Source organism: Homo sapiens, chromosome 9, assembly GCF_000001405.40.
Source record: "Homo sapiens chromosome 9, GRCh38.p14 Primary Assembly".
NCBI classification, from domain to species: Eukaryota; Metazoa; Chordata; class Mammalia; order Primates; family Hominidae; genus Homo; species Homo sapiens.
The window spans coordinates 88,186,532-88,204,975 of NC_000009.12; the positions used below are offsets into that span (position 1 = coordinate 88,186,532).

An 18,444-nucleotide genomic window follows, 5' to 3' on the forward strand; every position below is an offset into this window, starting at 1 on the left:
TGGCTGCCACTCAGAGAGCTGGGTTTAGACTCATCATTCCTTTCTTTGACATTAAAAAAGGGTCATCATTTATTTAAGAAGTTTTATTTCAGACTTTTGTGTATGGCAGAGTAAAGGTGTTTCTGCACCCATATCCCCTTGATAATTAATGATGAGCTAGCAGAATGGGAGAGAAAAGAAGGAGAAGGAGACAGAAACACAGACTGTTTAAATGAAGCTAAGAGATACCTGTTCATTGCACATGAACATTTGAGGACTGGGAGCTGCCTTAGCAGAATGTGTAGAATGAAAACTAGATGCCTACCAAGGACTGATTCATCCTACAGTACTTGGAAATGCTCAGGGATTGAAGTCATGGGTACCTTGAAGGCAGACATAAGGTGTGGACCAGAACATGATGGGAAAGATAAAAGTCTGCATAAAAACAACTAGGAACCCTGGACCAGCAGCTGGCTACACATAGATGAATGAGCCGAGGCTGGCTGACACCAGCCAAAGTGCACAGCAGAGCCTATCCTAAATTGCTGACCCACAGGATGGTAAGCTAACTAAGTTGTGTTTTCTTTATTTTTATTTATTATGTTTTTGTTTTTGTTTTTGTTTTTGTTTTTTTTGAGATGGAGTTTTGCTCTTGTCGCCCAGGCTGAAGTGCAATGGCATGAGCTCGGTTCACTGCAACCTCCACTTCCTAGGTTCAAGCGGTTCTCCTGCCTCAGTCTCCTGAGTAGCTGGGATTATAGGAACCCACCACCATGCCTGACTAATTTTTTGTATTTTTAGTAGAGGCAGGGTTTCACCACGTTGGCCAGGCTGGTCTCGAACTCCTGACCTCAGGTTATCCACCCACCTCGGCCTCCCAAAGTGCTGGCATTACAGGCGTGAGCCACTGCGCCCAGCCTCCCTCTCCAGACTCTATTTCCCCTCTGCCACCTGGATACCAGGAGAATTGCTTGAACCCGGGAGGTGGAGGTTGCAGTGAGCCAAGATCACGCCACTGCACTCCAGCCTGCATGACAGAGTGAGACTCTGAAAGAAGGAAAGGGGAGGGAAGGGAAGGGAAGGGGAGGGGAGGGGAGGGGAGAGGAGGGGAGGGGAGGGAGGGAGGGGAGGTGAGGGGAAACTGTTGGAAGCTATTAATTGTAATAGTTATAAGAGTAGAAATGTCGAGTAGAACACACTATTAAAGCTATGAATATGAAAAAAAAGAGTTTTGAATTGTTTTGTATGTTCTCTAACTGATCTATTTCTTTGGATAATCTAGTAATTTCTTCCAGATGTCTTTTAGTAACAACTTGTTGGCACTGGCAAGCGAAAGTGATAGCCATTTCTTGTTGTACTTCATGGCTGCAGTTTGCATTCCTGAAGCTAGCAATTATCTGAAGTTTTTCAGAAGCATAGTTCACAAACTGTTGTTTAAAGCCTCTTTCCTTGGCACAAGTGGTCCAGGACAGCCTTCCATAAAGATACCAAACTCCATACATACATAATGAAACATATACGAATTGCCAGCCTATAGTTTTCCAAATTACTCCTCCAACAGTGATGTCCGTAGAAGTCCTAGATGTAAGAGAAGCTAATCCTGTTATTAAGGTAACCATGAGTTCTTTGTGTGATGCATTATCTGGTGTTGCTGGGTTGATAGAAGCAGTGGGAGTACAGGCTAAAGAGCTAGGGAAAGTTAGGCTCTGACAATCCTAGGAGCACCCTCTGAGCATTTGTAGGGCCCAGGAATCAATGCACAAGTGAAGACCAGCCCAGGGAAAAATGGAATACAATACCCTCTTGAAAATCTGGTCATAACTTGTGGCAATATAGGTCATGACTGAGATCAAATTTCTTGCAAGGGATTAGTGTATGCAGTTTATTCTATATATAGCTGAAAGTAATGGTTTCAAATTTTTAATAATTTCTTGCTTGGATTAAACATTGAGGCATTGTCTTAATTGGTGCATCAATCAGCCATATTTCTTCTGATACCGTCTTCTAAGTGCTAATTTAAGTCACCTTTACATACTTTCAATACACGTGGAGTAGGATGAAACTGAATAAAATTCATCAACCAAAACAGACAGTCAACAAATTTCATCTGTCTTTGCACGTGAAACCTTGTTTGCCACTTCCTTGGTAACCTCCCTGATTTTTTTATTTTTTATTTTTTATTTTTCTTGAGATGGAGTCTCACTCTGTTGCCCAGGCTGGAGTGCAGTGGTGCGATCTTGGCTCACTGCAACCTTCCCTTCCCAGGTTCAAGCAATTACCTGCCTCAGCCTCCCAAGTAGCTGGGATTACAGGCACCCGCCACCACGCCAGAGTAATTTTTGTCTTTTTAGTAGAGACGGGGTTTCACCATGTTGGCCAGGCTGGTCTTGAACTCCTGACCTCGTGATCCACCTGCCTCAGCCTCCCAAAGTGCTGGGATTACAGGCGTGAGCCACTGCGCCCGGCCTTCCTGATTTTTTTCTTAACATCTAGTGTTAAAAGGTTCATCTGGTTTGGGATAAAGCTCAGTCTGTCGATTTGTTCTTCCCGCTCTTTCTTTGAATAAACTCTTCTCTGTTGCTGCCACGTTTATTGAATCCATTGTGTTTTTCACAATATCTAGTATTGGCTTAGCTCCGATAGTGTGCTGTTTCAACCCTGTTTTCACTGCTGATTGTGAGATACACTCCTTAAAGATTTGTTAAAATTCTGAAACTCCTGTAATCTTGCCTGAAATCGTTTACCAAGTACTTCACTGCTTTCTGGCATCCCCTGTGGTTTGTGCTGTCTAGCACTAAGAACTTCCTTTGCTGAAATGAAGAATATATGATTCTGTGCTTCTAAAGGATCCACAACTTTAACCTCCTCCACAAAGAAATGCAAGCATCTTTCCATGTGCTGTCTACATACATCTTCCATATATTCTGGCTCTGATGAAGCGACATCCCAGTGATTATTCAGAATTAAATTATTAGGCTTGGAAAGCTGCTCATTTACCTTGTGAAAAAAATGTTTTTCTGTGTTCATTAGTGTTGATTCAGAGTTTACAAACAAAATGATGACATAAGCATCTAAGCAACACTCATCAATCCAGGTATCCAGCTCTGTAGTGACATCTGTGCCTGGACTGTCTACTAAAACCAGCTCACCTTTCAAGAGGACACACTTTGTCTTTGGCCAAAACACATGTATAAGACAGCCAGCTTCCAAGCCTTTGTCCACATGAAGGGCATAGGACAGCTGATGAACTGTGTTTACACTGTTTTTTCATCTTATCCTTTTGTCATAAGATAGGTTTTATCTCCATTGGTCTCTTAAACACTTTGGAAGCAATTGGTTGTATGATCAATCCCACTAAGGAGAGCTTTATCCCACAACATTGCATTGATAACAGAGCTTGTCCTGCCAAAAAATGCCACCTTCATTTGTCTCCGAGATAGCACCTTACCAATGATAGAAAGCTTGTTTTTATATTCTTACATTTCTACTTGATTATCCTCAGTAGCTCAGTCAAGTTCTAGATTCTTATATGTTGCTATTATTATTCCACCCTGATTGGATCTTCAGATCTTGAGCTGAGAAGGGAGATTCACATACTTCAACAATATGTGATCCTCAGTAACAAACTCCAGTAACTGGTCAAAGATTTCAGTAATTGCCTTCTTATCCAGCACAAAGTGTTTCAGTGGAGAAGCCCCCAAGCTGCCCCATCTTTCCAAGAGATCGCTCTGTTAATTTTTTTTACATCTTTTTTTATCTTGGTATTTCATTTTAGATAGCATCTAATGCTGTCTTTTAGGTCACTGATACTTTCTTCTAAAATTTCTGATCTGCTGTAATTCTCATCTAATATGTTTTTCAACTCAGTTTTTGAAGTTTTCATCTCTAGAAGTTTGATTTGGATCTTCTATGTCACTACGTAGCATTTTTAATCTTTTCTCTATCTTCTTAAACATATGAAATTTGATCAGAATAACTGTTTTAAAAGTCCTTGCCTATTCTATCATCTGTGTCATTTTGGAGCTGGTTTTGATTCACTGATTTTTCTTCTCATTATGGGCTGTGTTTTCTTGCTTCTAGGAATGTCTGGCAATTTTTCTTTGAATGGTAGATATTGATGATTTATTTCATTGGTTGTTGACTATTTTGGTACTCCTATAAATATTTCTGGGCTCTGTTCTGAGATGTCGTTAAGGTACTTTGAAAGAGTTTGATCATTTCTCGGCTTGCTTTTAAAATTTGTCCATTAGAAGCAGATCTGAATTTATTCTAGGATTCATTTTTCTCCACTACAGTGGCAAGGTGGTTCTTAGTACATTAACTGATGCTCTCTGAATGACAAGGTTTTCCATTCCGGTTTTTCGGAACAGGTGCTATTTTTGGCCTTGTGTGTTCTTTGAAGCACTGTTCTCTTCAACCTTTTGGATCATTCTTCCCCCATCCTCAAAGCGTTTCTTCACACATATGTACTGATCAGTGCTCTGCTCAAGATCCCATGGGAACTCTCTGCAGGTCTCCAGGGTTCTTCCTCTGTGCCGCTCTCTTCTCTTCAGAACTCTTGCTCTCTTGGCTTCCCCAATTCCCAGCTCTGTCTCAACTCAGAAAGACCACCATGTTCCGCCTGGTTGCCCCTCCCTGCGCCATGGCCTGAAAGCTTTCTCAGAGCCATAAGGTGGGCAATCTTAGGGTTCACTTTGACGCAGGGCAGCTGAGCCCCCAAATTGGAGTCTTAGCCCAGGAAAGTTCTTAGCTTTACCCAGGAAGGAATTCAAGGGTGAGCCAGGGGTATTAGACAGCAATCTTTTATTGAACCAGAACTGTCCTCACGGAGCAGGGCTAACTCATAGGCAGTGCCCCAAAGCATTTCTTGTGGGCTGTTGGTTACCTGTGTTTCTACCTACTTTTACCCACTTTTAATTACATGCAAAATTAAGGGGTGAATTAATGCAAATTAAGGGGCAGGTCATTCAGAACATTCTAGAAAAGAGGGGGCAACTTCCTGGTCATTGCCACAGAAAGAGGTGGTAACTTCTGGTCATTGCCATGACATTTGTAAACTGTCTTGGTGCTGATGAGAGTATCTTATGCTAATGAGCATTGGGAGCAACTAGAAGCTGCCTTTGAGCCACCTGCTGGTTTTTGCCAGTTTCTTCACTGCGTCCTGTTTTGACCAGATCCTGGCTTGGTCAGCAGGGTTGTGACTGGAAAGCAAATCCTGCCAGCCTCCTTCCTCAACTGCACGTTTCTCATGCTTCTTAGATATCACTGTCTTTGGTGCCTGATGTCCATGCAATGTTGTTCTTTCATGTATTTATTTTGGTTGTTTCAAGCAGGAGATTGTTACTCCATTTCAACCAAATTTAAAGCCCTTTAAAATCTCTTCCATTTTACACTGTCTTCTCCATTTGCAGAGGCATCAGATAAAATTCCTTTGACTTTCTGCAGTCTTTCTTTGAATAGTAAACCTAAAAATATACTTATTTTTGGATATTTAAAATATTTCTCTAGTTATTATAGTGCAAGTTCATTTTTATATTTCAATATCAGGCTTTCATTTTAATAGCAATATTATTTTCTACCTTATACTTACTCATATTACAACTTCTCTCAAAATGCTCTGTGAAGCCATTTCTAAAGTTGAATCAGGAAATTATCTAGCAAAGGCCAGGAATTAGGATTATGGCTTTATTACAATAATAGAGTGTCACTACCATACTTCTTTATAAGGCAAAAATGTTATCCATATTGTGAATGAAATTTCCATAGTAGTGTCTTCAAAAAGTAATGAGTACTTTAGTATTTTTTTAATATACAGAATAAATATTTTTTTAAAGTATCAGTGTTTTCCAGGTTTCCTTGAAGTCCTAACAAATATAAGAACATTTCCCATTATTCTAACTGTGTACTTATATTCCCACTATTTTCCTCCATTATAGAAATGCCATACTGTCTTTAAGTGTTCTCTTTTTTCTTTCATTATTAAAATAGTAAAAATGATATTCAAAGATTTCCATGACTGAGCCTCTACTGACTGTTTCACACTTTCTGCTCCACCCACATGGAGGATTCTAAGGCCCCCTCACGGGCCATACTTAACTGTGTCCACCTCCATGTTCTCTGTTATCCTCCTGAGATGAACCTCTTGCCCCTTTCCAATGTGTGCCATCCCATCTCACCCTTCCGTAAGGAGCCAGCCCCAGCACCAAATCCAGGAAGCCTTTTCAAGATTTCCCTCCACCTCAACTCAACTCTCCCTCTTGGAAATTCCACTGAATTTTGTTTAAACTTGATTTTAACTTTGTTTTAGAGTCTTTTGTTTATATTTCTTACACTGCTAGATCAGTGATTCTCAAAGTTTAGTGCGCATCAAAATCACCCAAGGAGCTTGTAAAGACTTTGCTGAGCCCTACTCCCAGAGTCTCTGGGACCAAAGAATTTCTAGCATGCTCTCAGCTGATGCAGATCCTGCTGGTCCAAGGAGAACACTTTTCAGAACCCTGTGGTCTAGACCCCTTGAAAGTAGTATCCATGTCTCATGCATCTTAATTCCACAAAGTATCCAACAAAGTGACTTGCAAAGTGCTGTTCAATAGGTTAGCTTTATTAGTATTGAATTTCTGGACTTCAAAGGTGTATTTTAGAAAATGTCGTATGTATCAATGTAATAAAAAAGAATCACAGTTACAATGAAGAACCCAAAAGAAGTTGAAAAAAGAGCATAGGATCTGTTTATAAGTTTGCCTGCTTCATCAGTGAATAAAGCAATGGGGGTTGGGGGGAGGCAGGCGCAGTGGCTCACACCTGTAATCCCAGCACTTTGGGAGGCCAAGGCAGGTGGATCTCCTGAGGTCAGGAGTTCGAGACCAGACTGGCCAACATGGTGAAACACCGTCTCTACTAACAATACAAAAATTAGCTGGGCCTGATGGCAAATGCCTGTAATCCCAGCTACTCGGGAGGCTGAGGTACGAGAATTGCTTGAACGCGGGAGGTGGAGGTTGCAGTGACCTGATGTCACACCACTGCCTAAGCCACAGCGTGAGACTCTGTCTCAAAAAAAAAAAAAAAAAAAAAAAAAAGCAAAGCGGGGAAGTACGAAGTTGGGTGATTTCCAATATCATATGTACCAAAGTTTCTGGTTAATTATTCCAGTTTTGGCACAGAGAAAAGGTTTTTTGGTTCTTAACCATTGCATAGTTCTAGGGATTAGTAAGTTCAATATGAGTGTTTTGTTCATTATTACTTGGGAAAAATCAATAGAAAATCTGGTGTTAAAAAACATCAGATACAAAATTTAAAGCTCAACAAAAGACAGCCATGCGTAGGGCAGTGGGGAGGTGCAGAACTCTGAGGATGAGGTTGTCTGGGTGTGAGTCCTGGCTGCATCTTGATGCCTGTGTGCATTTGGGTGCTCTCCTCTGTAGAAGAGCGCTAAAAATAATCATGCATGCTTCCGAGGGTAAAGTTCTCAAAACAGTGCCTGGCATACAGCTTTAGTTAAAAATAAACTAGCAGAGAGTCTGCTTAGGTTAGTCTATGCTTTCAGTGACCGTATTTTTCCAACTAAAATTTAGAACAAGAGCGATACTTGGGCCACTTACGGGAATAAAAGTTTCTCAAAATAATCCTGTGATTCCTCAGATATTTCTAGAGTTTATAGAATCCAAAGGCAGTATATTACATAGAAAAAAAAATGTTTAGACACTCCAGGTTGTCTAGTATCCATATTTGTATATTCTCAGCCCCCATCTTCCATTTCCCCCAAATATCATATATCTCCAGGGAAAGGAAACCAGAGTATTCTCCTCCCAAATTGAGAGTAGGCAGGAATAACTCACATTTTCATCAGTTTCTCCAGTCTTTATGTGGGTAGATTGATCTAGAATGGAAAGGATTTCATGGTAACGATTGTAGGGAAGTTTAGATGTTTTCCCAGAAGGTTTGATCATTTTAGTTTATAAAACAAATAGGTTAACAGAAAAGAAAAAAGGCTTACTGGCCGGGTGTGGTGGCTCACGCCTATAATCCCAATACTTTGGGAGGCCAAGGCGGCGGATCACTTGAGGTCAGGAGTTCAAGACCACCCTGGCCAACATGGTGAAACCCTGTCTCTACTAAAAATACAAAAATTAGCTGGGCCTGGCGGTGCACACCTGTAACCCCAGCTACTCCGGAGGCTGAGGTGGGAGAATCGCTTGAACCCAGGAGGCGGAAGTTCCAGTAAGCCGAGATCTTGCCACTGCACTCCAGCCTGGGTGACACAGTGAGATTCTGTCTCAAAAAAAAAAAAAAAAAAAAAAAAAAAAAAGGATTACAAATTTTAGAAACGTGCATATGAGCTTCGGAGTCATACAAAATATAAAAACTCAGGCCAGGCATGGCGGCTTACTCTTGTAATCCCAGCACTTTCAGAGGCCAAGGCAGGTGGATCACCTGAGGTCAGGAGTTCCGGACCAGACTAGCCAACATGGTGAAATGCCGTCTCTACTGAAAACACAAAAATTAGCTGGGTGTGGTGGTGTGTGCCTGTAATCCCAGCTACTCAGGAGGCTGAGGCAGGAGAATTGCTTGAACCCAGGAGGCGGAGGTTGCAGTGAGCCAAGATCTCGCTATTGCACTCCAGCCTGGGCAACAAGAGCAAAACTCCATCTCAAAAAAAATAAAATAAAAATAAAAACTGAAAGAAATCGCCAGATGGTTGACACTTTTCTACCATCTTGTGGTTACAGAAAGAATGGAGGCTCAGAGCACGGCCAACGTAAATTATGGCAGTAAGAGATTATGGAGGGAGAGAAGAGGCCTGTCTCACAAAGGGGAGTCCTGTTATGTAGATGATGAAACCTCACAGGTTGCAGCTCTCGGAGAGAATACATGGTAAGAGTTTCCTTCAGACCTTTAAAGATGTTGGATTCTCAGTTAATCTTTTTTAGATCTGGATAAGAGAGGGCCTCAGAGGAGGCCTGGCTGCACCGTGCAGATTCTGCACAGATGCAAAGTTTCCCAGGAAAGACAGTTTTTCAGGGCTACTTCTGTTTGCAAGCCCTCTGAACAGCCATCTCAAAATACGTCAAAGAAGGATACTTTGGAGCGAAATATTTTGGTTTCCTTCACGATCCTCACTGGAACCCATGATAGCCCACATCCTGGCCCTGAAGTTTTAGGGTGTTAGGTAATGTATATAAACAAAATAAGCCAAAGGACACCTAAAAAACAAGCAGGCAATTTCTCAGCAACTTTATTACTTTTATAACGGGTTAATAATTCTATGGAGAGCCCTGGAATTTACTACAACTTTCTGCCTTTGTTTCTTATAGAAGCAAAGGGAGTTACCAGTAAGGTAGTAATAAATTCCAAGAATCACTTAAAGATTGCTTTTATCCATGAGAAACATACCTCAATAACATGTGGGGGCCAAGGCAGGGCTTTCCCTTTGACCCTCTCTGAAGTTTCACTGAAAAATCAACTTGCAAAAGGCAGATTAATAGGAGAAAAGCCATACAAATTCATTTAACATGTATACATCGGGGGCCTTCTGAATGAAGACCCAACTTCCCAGTGAGGTACAGAAGCTTATATACCATTCTGAGGTTAGGAGACAGGAATAACAAGGGTGGTTGCAGGAGAATAGAAAATTCCAGGCAGTGGTTTCACATGGCTAGCAAAAGGAAACTGTAGAAATAGCTGCAGAAACTATGGGCTGATAAGACCCTAAAAGCCAGGGTGCGGACTAAGCTGGGTGAGACTAACCGGACTCAATGTGGCACTGGATTTGACCTAGGTTTCACCTAGAACCTCATTATACGCTCATTAGCATACAAATCACACACCCACCAGCACCATGACAGTTCCAGGAACATCCATATTTGGTGTGAAAATGAGTAGCACTAGAGTTCCAGAACATCTCCACCTTTTTCCAGGAATCTTCATGAATATTCCATCCCTTAGTTAAAGAAACCCACAAAGGCAGCCCCTCCAAACCCCTTTGCATGTGACTGTCTCTTGAGTACACCTGCACTCCCCTTTCTTGAGTGTGTACTTTTCACTTTGCAATACATTTCCGTACTTGGACTATTTTCTGACTCAGCCTTGAATTTATTCTCACTGGGGTGGAGGTCCCACTAGCAACTGGGGACTTCCCGCAGCCCACTGATGTCAGTTACAGAAAGAATGGGAGCTTGGATCCTGGTAAAACAGGTTATGGGAGTGGAGAGAAGAATTCCATTGAGGGGCAATAAATGATTACTAGAATGAATGACTGTATGGGAAACAGAAATTAACTTGTAAATAGTTCTCTTTGGAATTTAAATGATCCCTGGAGCAAGTTATTATCTTCTTTTCTGTAATGGATAAGGAGATAACAGGGAAGACAGCAAGAATAATTGTTCTCCTTGGTGAGTCTGTCCTACCTGTATGTATAGATAGGAGAAAACCAGTGCTTATTGATCTCTAAGGGTTTTTAATTTAAAATACTCATTATACCAGGGACCTGTATTTTGGAGTGAAATACTTTGAAACAACCAAAGGCAGAGAGATAGTCCCAAATTATCGATGAGAAGATTAAGTAAAGTGGGCAGAAGAGAAAAAGATTATATGTCTATAATACTGCTACCCTTCCATTACTTCTCACATCGGGCAGAATTAAGATATTTCCCAAGACTGAGACACTCATGGAAGGCAGCCAGCCGTCACCACAAATCTTCATAAGCTCACTGCAGCTTTCCTGCTGCTACACACAGGCACATTCTCTCCCCCTCTTCTTTTTTTTCCTTCCTTCCTTCCTTCCTTCCTCCCTCCCTCCCTCCCTACCTCTCTTCCTCCCTTCCTTCCTTCCTTTCTTCTTTCCTTCCTTTGCTGAGTCAAACTCAATTGTGTGTTACTTCTACAAACATTTTGTTATAAATATTTTCAAACATACACAAAAATAAAGGAAGTATAAAATGAATCTTCACGTATTTATTACCCAGTTTCAAGTATAAACATTTTGCCAATCTTGTTTTATCTACTCTCCACCCCTTCCTCTCCTCACCACTCAATGTTTCTCTGGATCATTTTAAGGCAAATTCCAGGTTTTCAGTCTTAAATGTATCACGTCTGTCTAAAAATAAGCACTTAAAAAAAACCTAATCACAGCACATTATCATACTTTCCCAAATTAATATTTCTTGATTTCATCTAATACCCAGTTTGTTTTAAAATTTTCTCAAAAATAACTTTATGCAGTTGGTGTGTTCAAATAGGCTCTATGCAAAGTCTACATCGTGCATTTGATAAATCTCTTAAGCTCTTTCAATATGTGATACTTCCCCTTCTTCTTTCTGGCTTTCAGGCCATATGTTTGGTCTGCTCAATTTTCCACAGTCTGGATCTTGATGAATTGCATTCTTATGGTGTAACTAACACATTCTTTTGCTTCTTGTATTTCCTGTAAGCTGATGTTTACATTTAGAGGCTTGTTTAGACGCAGGTTTGAATTTTTTTAGCATGAAAGTTCCAGTTGCACTGCAGAATGTCTGGTGATCCCAGGTTTAGCACTTTTGAGGTTGATCAGTTAAAAAGTAGCTGTTTGGGAGGCAAAGGGCACATGTTAGTCGCCTTTGCATGCCCATTGTCAAGCACAGCATTGTGCCTAGAGCAATCCCTGGCAATGTTTACTGAGTTGAAGCAGTTGATGAAACCCAGATTTGTGAGACTTCAGATACAAATCTTCTATTCTCAGCTGAGATGCCTAAACTTTATTAATTCACATCTGTATGTTGTAAAAGTTCTATTTTATTTTACGACCTTAGCCAGTTTTGACCAGTTCACCTTGGCTGCGGTTGTTTCTGTTTCATCTTTTTCTCATAAATAGTGTCAACCTTAAATAATGAGATTCAGAAAATATGACTAAGGATAGAGTTTATTCGAGTGCAAAGCTTGAGGATAGCCACTCATGAAGCGTCAGCTCCAAATGAATATGGTCAGCATTCCCAAGTGGAGAAGTTAAGGTTTCACTTTTACAGACAGAGACAAAGACATTTTCAGAGGATTACAACATTTTCTATAGGAGACCAGTGCATACATTAAAGCAATTTGATTGGTCACAGATTGCTACGTGCCAAGGAAGATTACTTTATTACTCAATGAGGAGGGATGGTGATCTGAGGAGGTCTTCTCTCTCGTGCTGTTTGGTCTTCTTAATTATTCACAGGGGGAAAAAAAGGCGGAAGTTGCCGCTGCACGTGACTCAGGCTGCATAGCCACATTTGTCTCAAGGCTCAGAATAACTTAAAGTTCCAACAACTTGAAGTTTGAATTATTTAATTTCACAATAGAAATTAAAACAAAGATTTTAACGTTTCTTAATAAGAAGAAGCCATCTTCATGCGAATTGTGAAATTTTTAAATTAAATATATTTTTAAAGTTAGTAATTTACTCAAGCGTTGTTTAGACATTGTTTTAGAAACTGGTATCTTGAGTGTCTATGCTTGTCATCTTTCATGATGAATGGTCCCTGTTTATTTGCAAAACTTGCCAATCTGCCAAAGCTTTATTTGCTGGGAAGTTAGCATGTCTGGGAAAGTAACACTTTCTTTTTGCTTTAGTAACGTATAAATATTTTTAAAAAAGGATATACATATTTTTAGGAAAATATTCTTAGCAAACCCAAGATTGAGATCTATGAGTTCATTTTTCCCCTATTTTTCTACACCTTTAAAAAAATTCCCCTTTGGAGATTGAAACAGGAGAAAGGGTAGGGCCCAATATCACACAGGGACAAGAGTTGAGCCTGGGAGAGTCTTGTATTCAGGACCCAAACTGGGTGCAGGGCTGGCTCATTAGGAGTTGAAATGCCTCTGCACCAGTCACGGGTGGAAATAGGTGCATTCACATGAACATGGTTGCATCAGCTTCATCCACAGGAGCCCTGAACCCGTCATTAACCTGTGATCTGGTTGGAATCTATGTACCCTATGGGTCAATGTGAAATTACTTCTCAGGGAGGCAACCACAGCTGAGGGAGTCCACAAGGTAAAATTTCCACAGAAGATAAACTCACATGTAAGAACTGCAAAAAACATACAAGAATGTCTAGTATTGTGACAATAGTAAACCCAGGTCTGCTGCATACAGACCGTACAATTGTAGGTGTGTAATTCACATTGATCACAATTGCACACTCATACACACACCCCATGCAAAACCTTACGGTAGGAATTCTAAAGTGACCTGATAAAAATATTGAATCCTCAAATTGATAACGTAGAGAATGACATTTGTGGAACAAGAACATTCAAAATTTTTAAATGCCATTATGGCAAGGGAACAGATGAGTATTTTTAAAAAATCAGATCTCTGGCCTGGAGTGGTGGCTCACGGGGCCAAGGTGGGTGGATAACTTGAGGTCAGGAGTTCAAGACAGACCAGGCTGGCCAACATGGTGAAACCCCATCTCTACTAAAAATACAAACATTAGCTGGGCATGATGGCACGTGCCTGTAATCCCAGCTACTCGGGAGGCTGAGGCAGGAGAATCACTTGAACCGGGGAGGTGGAGGTTACAGTGAACAGAGATTGATCCACTGCACTCCAGCCTGGGCAACAGAGTGAGGCTCTGTCTCAAAAAAAAAAAAAAAAAAAAAAGAAAGAAAGAAAGAAAAGAAAGAGGTGATTGGGAGCTCTAAGAAGAAACTCCTTTGACTCCGATTTTGGGGAAGGAAAAAGTATTAGTTATCTCTGAGATGAATAGCTGAGGTCATTATTGATCCATTTGATGGGGCTAAGTGGCATCTTGGAAAAAAAGACCCTCAAGCAGAAAACAGAAAACCTCTGTAACTCTTCGGGCTTCAGTTTCCTTTACAAAAAAAAAAAAAAAAATCAAACAACAAAAAACAGAATTGAAATTGATGGTACACATTATTTTTGCTTCTCTGTTATATAAAAACTTAATAATTTCTTAACTAAAACTAGGCATGGCACTATTATGGTACTCAAGGAAATTAACAATGGGCAGTTCAGCTTCTGGCACTGGTGGAAAATAAGCTAACACGGGTGTGAGAAAGGCAGATGCAGGAGCCCCGAGCTCACCTACACGCTAGGGACCAGTGGGTAAAAACTGGAGGCACCTCGACAAGCCCCACACAGCCCCTGTGAGCTTCCTGTGGGGCTTCAGCCATCCAGGGGCTCCTAAAAAGTAAAAGTTCTAGTATTTGTACATGGTTATTTCCAAGATAACGTGGATGCTAACAATTTTTTGAGGAACATTTACTTTCACAGAATTACAAGTCCATCTTGCTGTTGCCAATCATGTTGGGGAAAATACAGTGTTTTTCTTAGAAAACCAGGCAATCTATGTGGAAACTCTCATCCCATGGTGATCTGCCTATACAGTCTTTGTGAGATCACTTCAATACAAGGAATGTAAAATAAAAAATTAAAATAAAAAAATTTAATGAATTGGCCAGGCATGGTGGCTCATGCCTGTAATCCCAGCACTTTGGGAGACCGAGGTGGGTGGATCACGAGGTCAGGAGATCGAGACCATCCTGGCTAACACGGTGAAACCCTGTCTCTGCTAAAAATACAAAAAATTAGCCGGGCGTGGTGGCGGGCGCCTGTAGTCCCAGCTACTCGGGAGGCTGAGGCAGGAGAATGGTGTGAACCTGGGAGGTGGAGCTTGCAGTGAGCCGAGATGGCACCACTGCACTCCAGCCTGGGCGACAGAGCGAGACTCCATCTCAAAAAAAAAAAAAAAAAATTAATGAATTATATTATATCCCTCATCCCCCCAACCCCTATTAAAGATCACTGGAATTATTTTGAAATGTTTTCACACTCACGTAACATACTTTTGACAAAGGAATTTTATGGTATTTGAACTAGATGAATACTTTTGGTCAATATCAATGAGGGTGTGTTTACCCAATATGAACAGCGGCATAGCAGGACACCAAACGCTGCCTGCATCAACGAAGGCCACACGCAGTTCACCTCTGTAACTGCAATCGATTTCTCAGAGAAGTAAGTCAAGACGAAATCATTCACTAAAGCCACATATTGAGTTTAAAAAGAAAAACCTAGCAGCTTTCTAAAACTGAAGCTTCAACTTCTAAAAATGTTAATTTTACCTACTAAAAACCCCTTACCTTTTAGAGCTTAAGGTTAAAAAAAAATCTAATGTAACAATATGTAACCGGGTCTCATCTATTTCACTACTTTTTTTTTTTTTTCTCATGGGAAAAACCAGGAGATTTATGGAATCTACCCAAGAGATTGAGCAGATATCCAATGTTCAGCCTCGGATGTATATCACAAAGTTCTATAACTCCCATCTGGTTATCATAAGTATAAAAGGTTAAAACCTGGGGTTTTATTGTTACTTTAAACAATAAAATATTTTATTTGAAATAAGAAAACTGAAAGCCAATTTAGGGAGGCAGTCTGATGTCCCTGGAGCAAATGTGAATTTCCTTCAGTTTGGAAATAATAATAAAGTGTGACATATGAAAGAAGAAAATGCTTTCTTCCTTTACAGAAACTATGAGCAAACATCTCTAGGCTCAGGCCGGCTATCTTGCCTCTCTCTTGCCTCATAGCCTGGAATTTACCCCCACAAGTCCACCCTCGGTTTTCTTTAAACTTCAACTTCCAGTTGACTTGGAAGTCTTCTTCATCCTGCCCAAGATATAAGGACATACATAGCTTGCTTTCTTAAGAGGAATTTTCCATGTTTCCCAGTGAACAATGACCTAACCATCCTTTAAGTTTTACTGAACACATCTGAGATTGATACTTTTGAAGGAGTTTGAATATTTGGCCAAATTTTCATCTTGTAGTTTACCATATGCTGAAATACTTAGTCTATTCTCACTAATCTATTCGTTCTAGAGTATAAATTACCAAAGTTATTTTAAATTATTACCTCTCTGAAAGATATTATACATTGACGGATGGAGAGAATCACTTTTTAAAAAGTATTTGAGGCTGAGCACAGTGACTCACGCCTGTAATCCCAACACTCTGAGAGGCGAATCACTTGAGGCCAGGAGGTCGAGATATGTCTGGGCCAAAATGACGAAACCCCATCTCTACTGAAAATACAAAAATTAGCATGGTGTGGTGGCACATGCCTGTGATCCCAGCTACTCTTGAGGCTGAGGCAGGAGAATTGTTTGAATCCGGGAGGTGGAGGTTGCTGTGAACCGAGACTGCACCACTGCACTCCAGCCTGGGTGACAGAGCAAGACCGTGTCTCAAAATGAATAAATTAATTAATTAAATAAAAAGTATTTGAGAATCTATAAGTGTTATGCTGTGCCAGTTCTTAGAAGCTGCATATGGGATGGCCGGGCGCGATGGCTCACGCCTGTAATCCCAGCACTTTGGGAGGCCGACGTGGGGGGATCAAGAGGTCAGGAGATCGAGACCATCCTAGCTAACATGGCGAAACACCGTCTCTACTAAAAATACAAAAAATTAGCCGGGCGTGGTAGTGGGCGCCTGTAGACCCAGCTACTCGGGAGGCTGAGGCAGGAGAATGGCGTGAACCCGGGAGGCGGAGCTTGCAGTAAGCCGAGATCGCGCCACTGCACTCCAGCCTGGGCGACAGAGCCACACTCCGTCTCAAAAAAAAAAGAAGAAACTGCATATAGGATACAAGTTCTGTGAAACGATACGCAAAATATTAGAAGACATTTAAAACTTTTCCCTATGATTACCAAGGTTCTAAAAACTTCCTTATCAAGGACGTACTTATCAAGCCCTCCTTTATCGAGGACTTCTCAGGCTTCTGCACCCACCCCCACTCAACCTACTGAATCTATAGTCACGTGTGGAAAGTGGGAATCTCAGCGCTCAACTAAAGACCAAAACTTGAAAATGTAACAATAAAAAATCACAGATGACAGTTCCAGACCTTCCTACTGGTGTAGAAGAATTTATAAGAATTGTGAGAGTGATGGTCACAAAATAATCAATGAATTAAGAAAAGAACAATGATGCAAACCTTCAGACTGAAACAGATTTGCCTTTAGCTATTTTATGGTAAGACTTCCAAAATGCCAAGACTAAAGAGAAAAAAAATCCTCAAAGCTTCCTCAGAGAAAATAACAAACTACTTACAAAAACATAAGAAGTGAATAGAAAACTCATAGAGCAATTCTTTTGAAGTTCTGAAAGTAAAGGATTTTTAAACTAGGTTTCTATTCCTGGCCAAAATTCATTCAAGCGTACAGCACATTTTTAGACCTGCAAGGACTCAAAAAATTTGACCCCTACAAACCTCTATGAAAAAATAAAGAGGCTGTACTTCAGCAAAATAATAATAAATTATATAAGAAAGAGCAGTAAATACAAAAAACAGTAAAATATATAGTTAAGTAATTTTTGATGGCTCTAATTAATGAATAAATAATAATCTGGAGCTAAAATCACATTTATGATTTTTGGGCAACATAGTGGGACTCTGTCTACAAAACTAAATAAATAGAAAGAGGCCCAGTGCGGTGGCTCACACTTGTAATCCCAGCACTTTGGGAGTCCGAGGCTGGCAGATCATGAGGTCAGGAGTTCAAGATCAGCCTGGCCCATATAGTGAAACCCCGTCTCTACTAAAAATACAAAAAATTAGCCAGGCCTGGTGGTGCACACCTGTAGGCTCAGTTACTCAGGAGGCTGAGGCAGGAGAATCACTTGAACCCGGAAGGCGGAGATTGCGGTAAACCGAGATCGCACCACTGCACTCCAGCCTGGGCAAGAGAGCGAGATTCTGTCTCAAAAAAAAAAAAAAAGAAAAGAAAAGAAAAGAAAAGAAGAAAAAAGGCCCAATAATAGGCAAGAATATTTGAAAAAGAGGTACAATGGCCAGGCATGGTGGCTCACCCCTGTAATCCAGAACTTTGGGAGGCTGAGGCGGGTGGATCACCTGAGGTCAGAAGTTCAAGACCAGCCTAGCCAACACGGTGAAACCCGGTCTCTACTCAAAATACAAAACTTAGCCGGGCATGGTGGCAGGTGCCTGTAATCTCACCTACTCAGGAGGCTGAGGCAGGAGAATCACTTGAACCTGGGAGGTGGAGGTTGCAGTGAGCCAAGATTACGTCACTGCACTCCAGCCTGGGCGACAAGAGTGAAACTCTGTCTAAAAAAAAAACAAAAAAACAATGAATGGCAGTTTGTTCTGTCAATATTAAGGTGAATTATAAAACTGTTGAAAACAGCACAGAGTGGAACTGTTACAGGAATAAACAAATTGATAAGTAGCGCGGAATAGAGAGTACAGAAACAGCCATGTTTGTTTGGAAATGTAGCATGTTTATTAACTTATTCTACATGTGTTTAATGAACAACAGGCATTGTGCATAGCATAACAACCAAAACAGTCCATATCCTTGGGTCAAAGAGGTTATAGTCTAGTGAGGCGGGGCAAGACAATCAGCCGGAATAGATGAGTCAACATCATTGGAAATTCGAGAGGAGAAATATTATGG

General features: G+C 40.8%; 1 pseudogene; it reads right to left on the reverse strand.

Annotated features, from left to right (window-relative positions):
* Positions 1-1,133: 1,133 nt before the first annotated feature.
* LOC100129340 (mitofusin-1-like) lies at positions 1,134-7,928 on the reverse strand (annotated as a pseudogene).
* Positions 7,929-18,444: the final 10,516 nt, after the last annotated feature.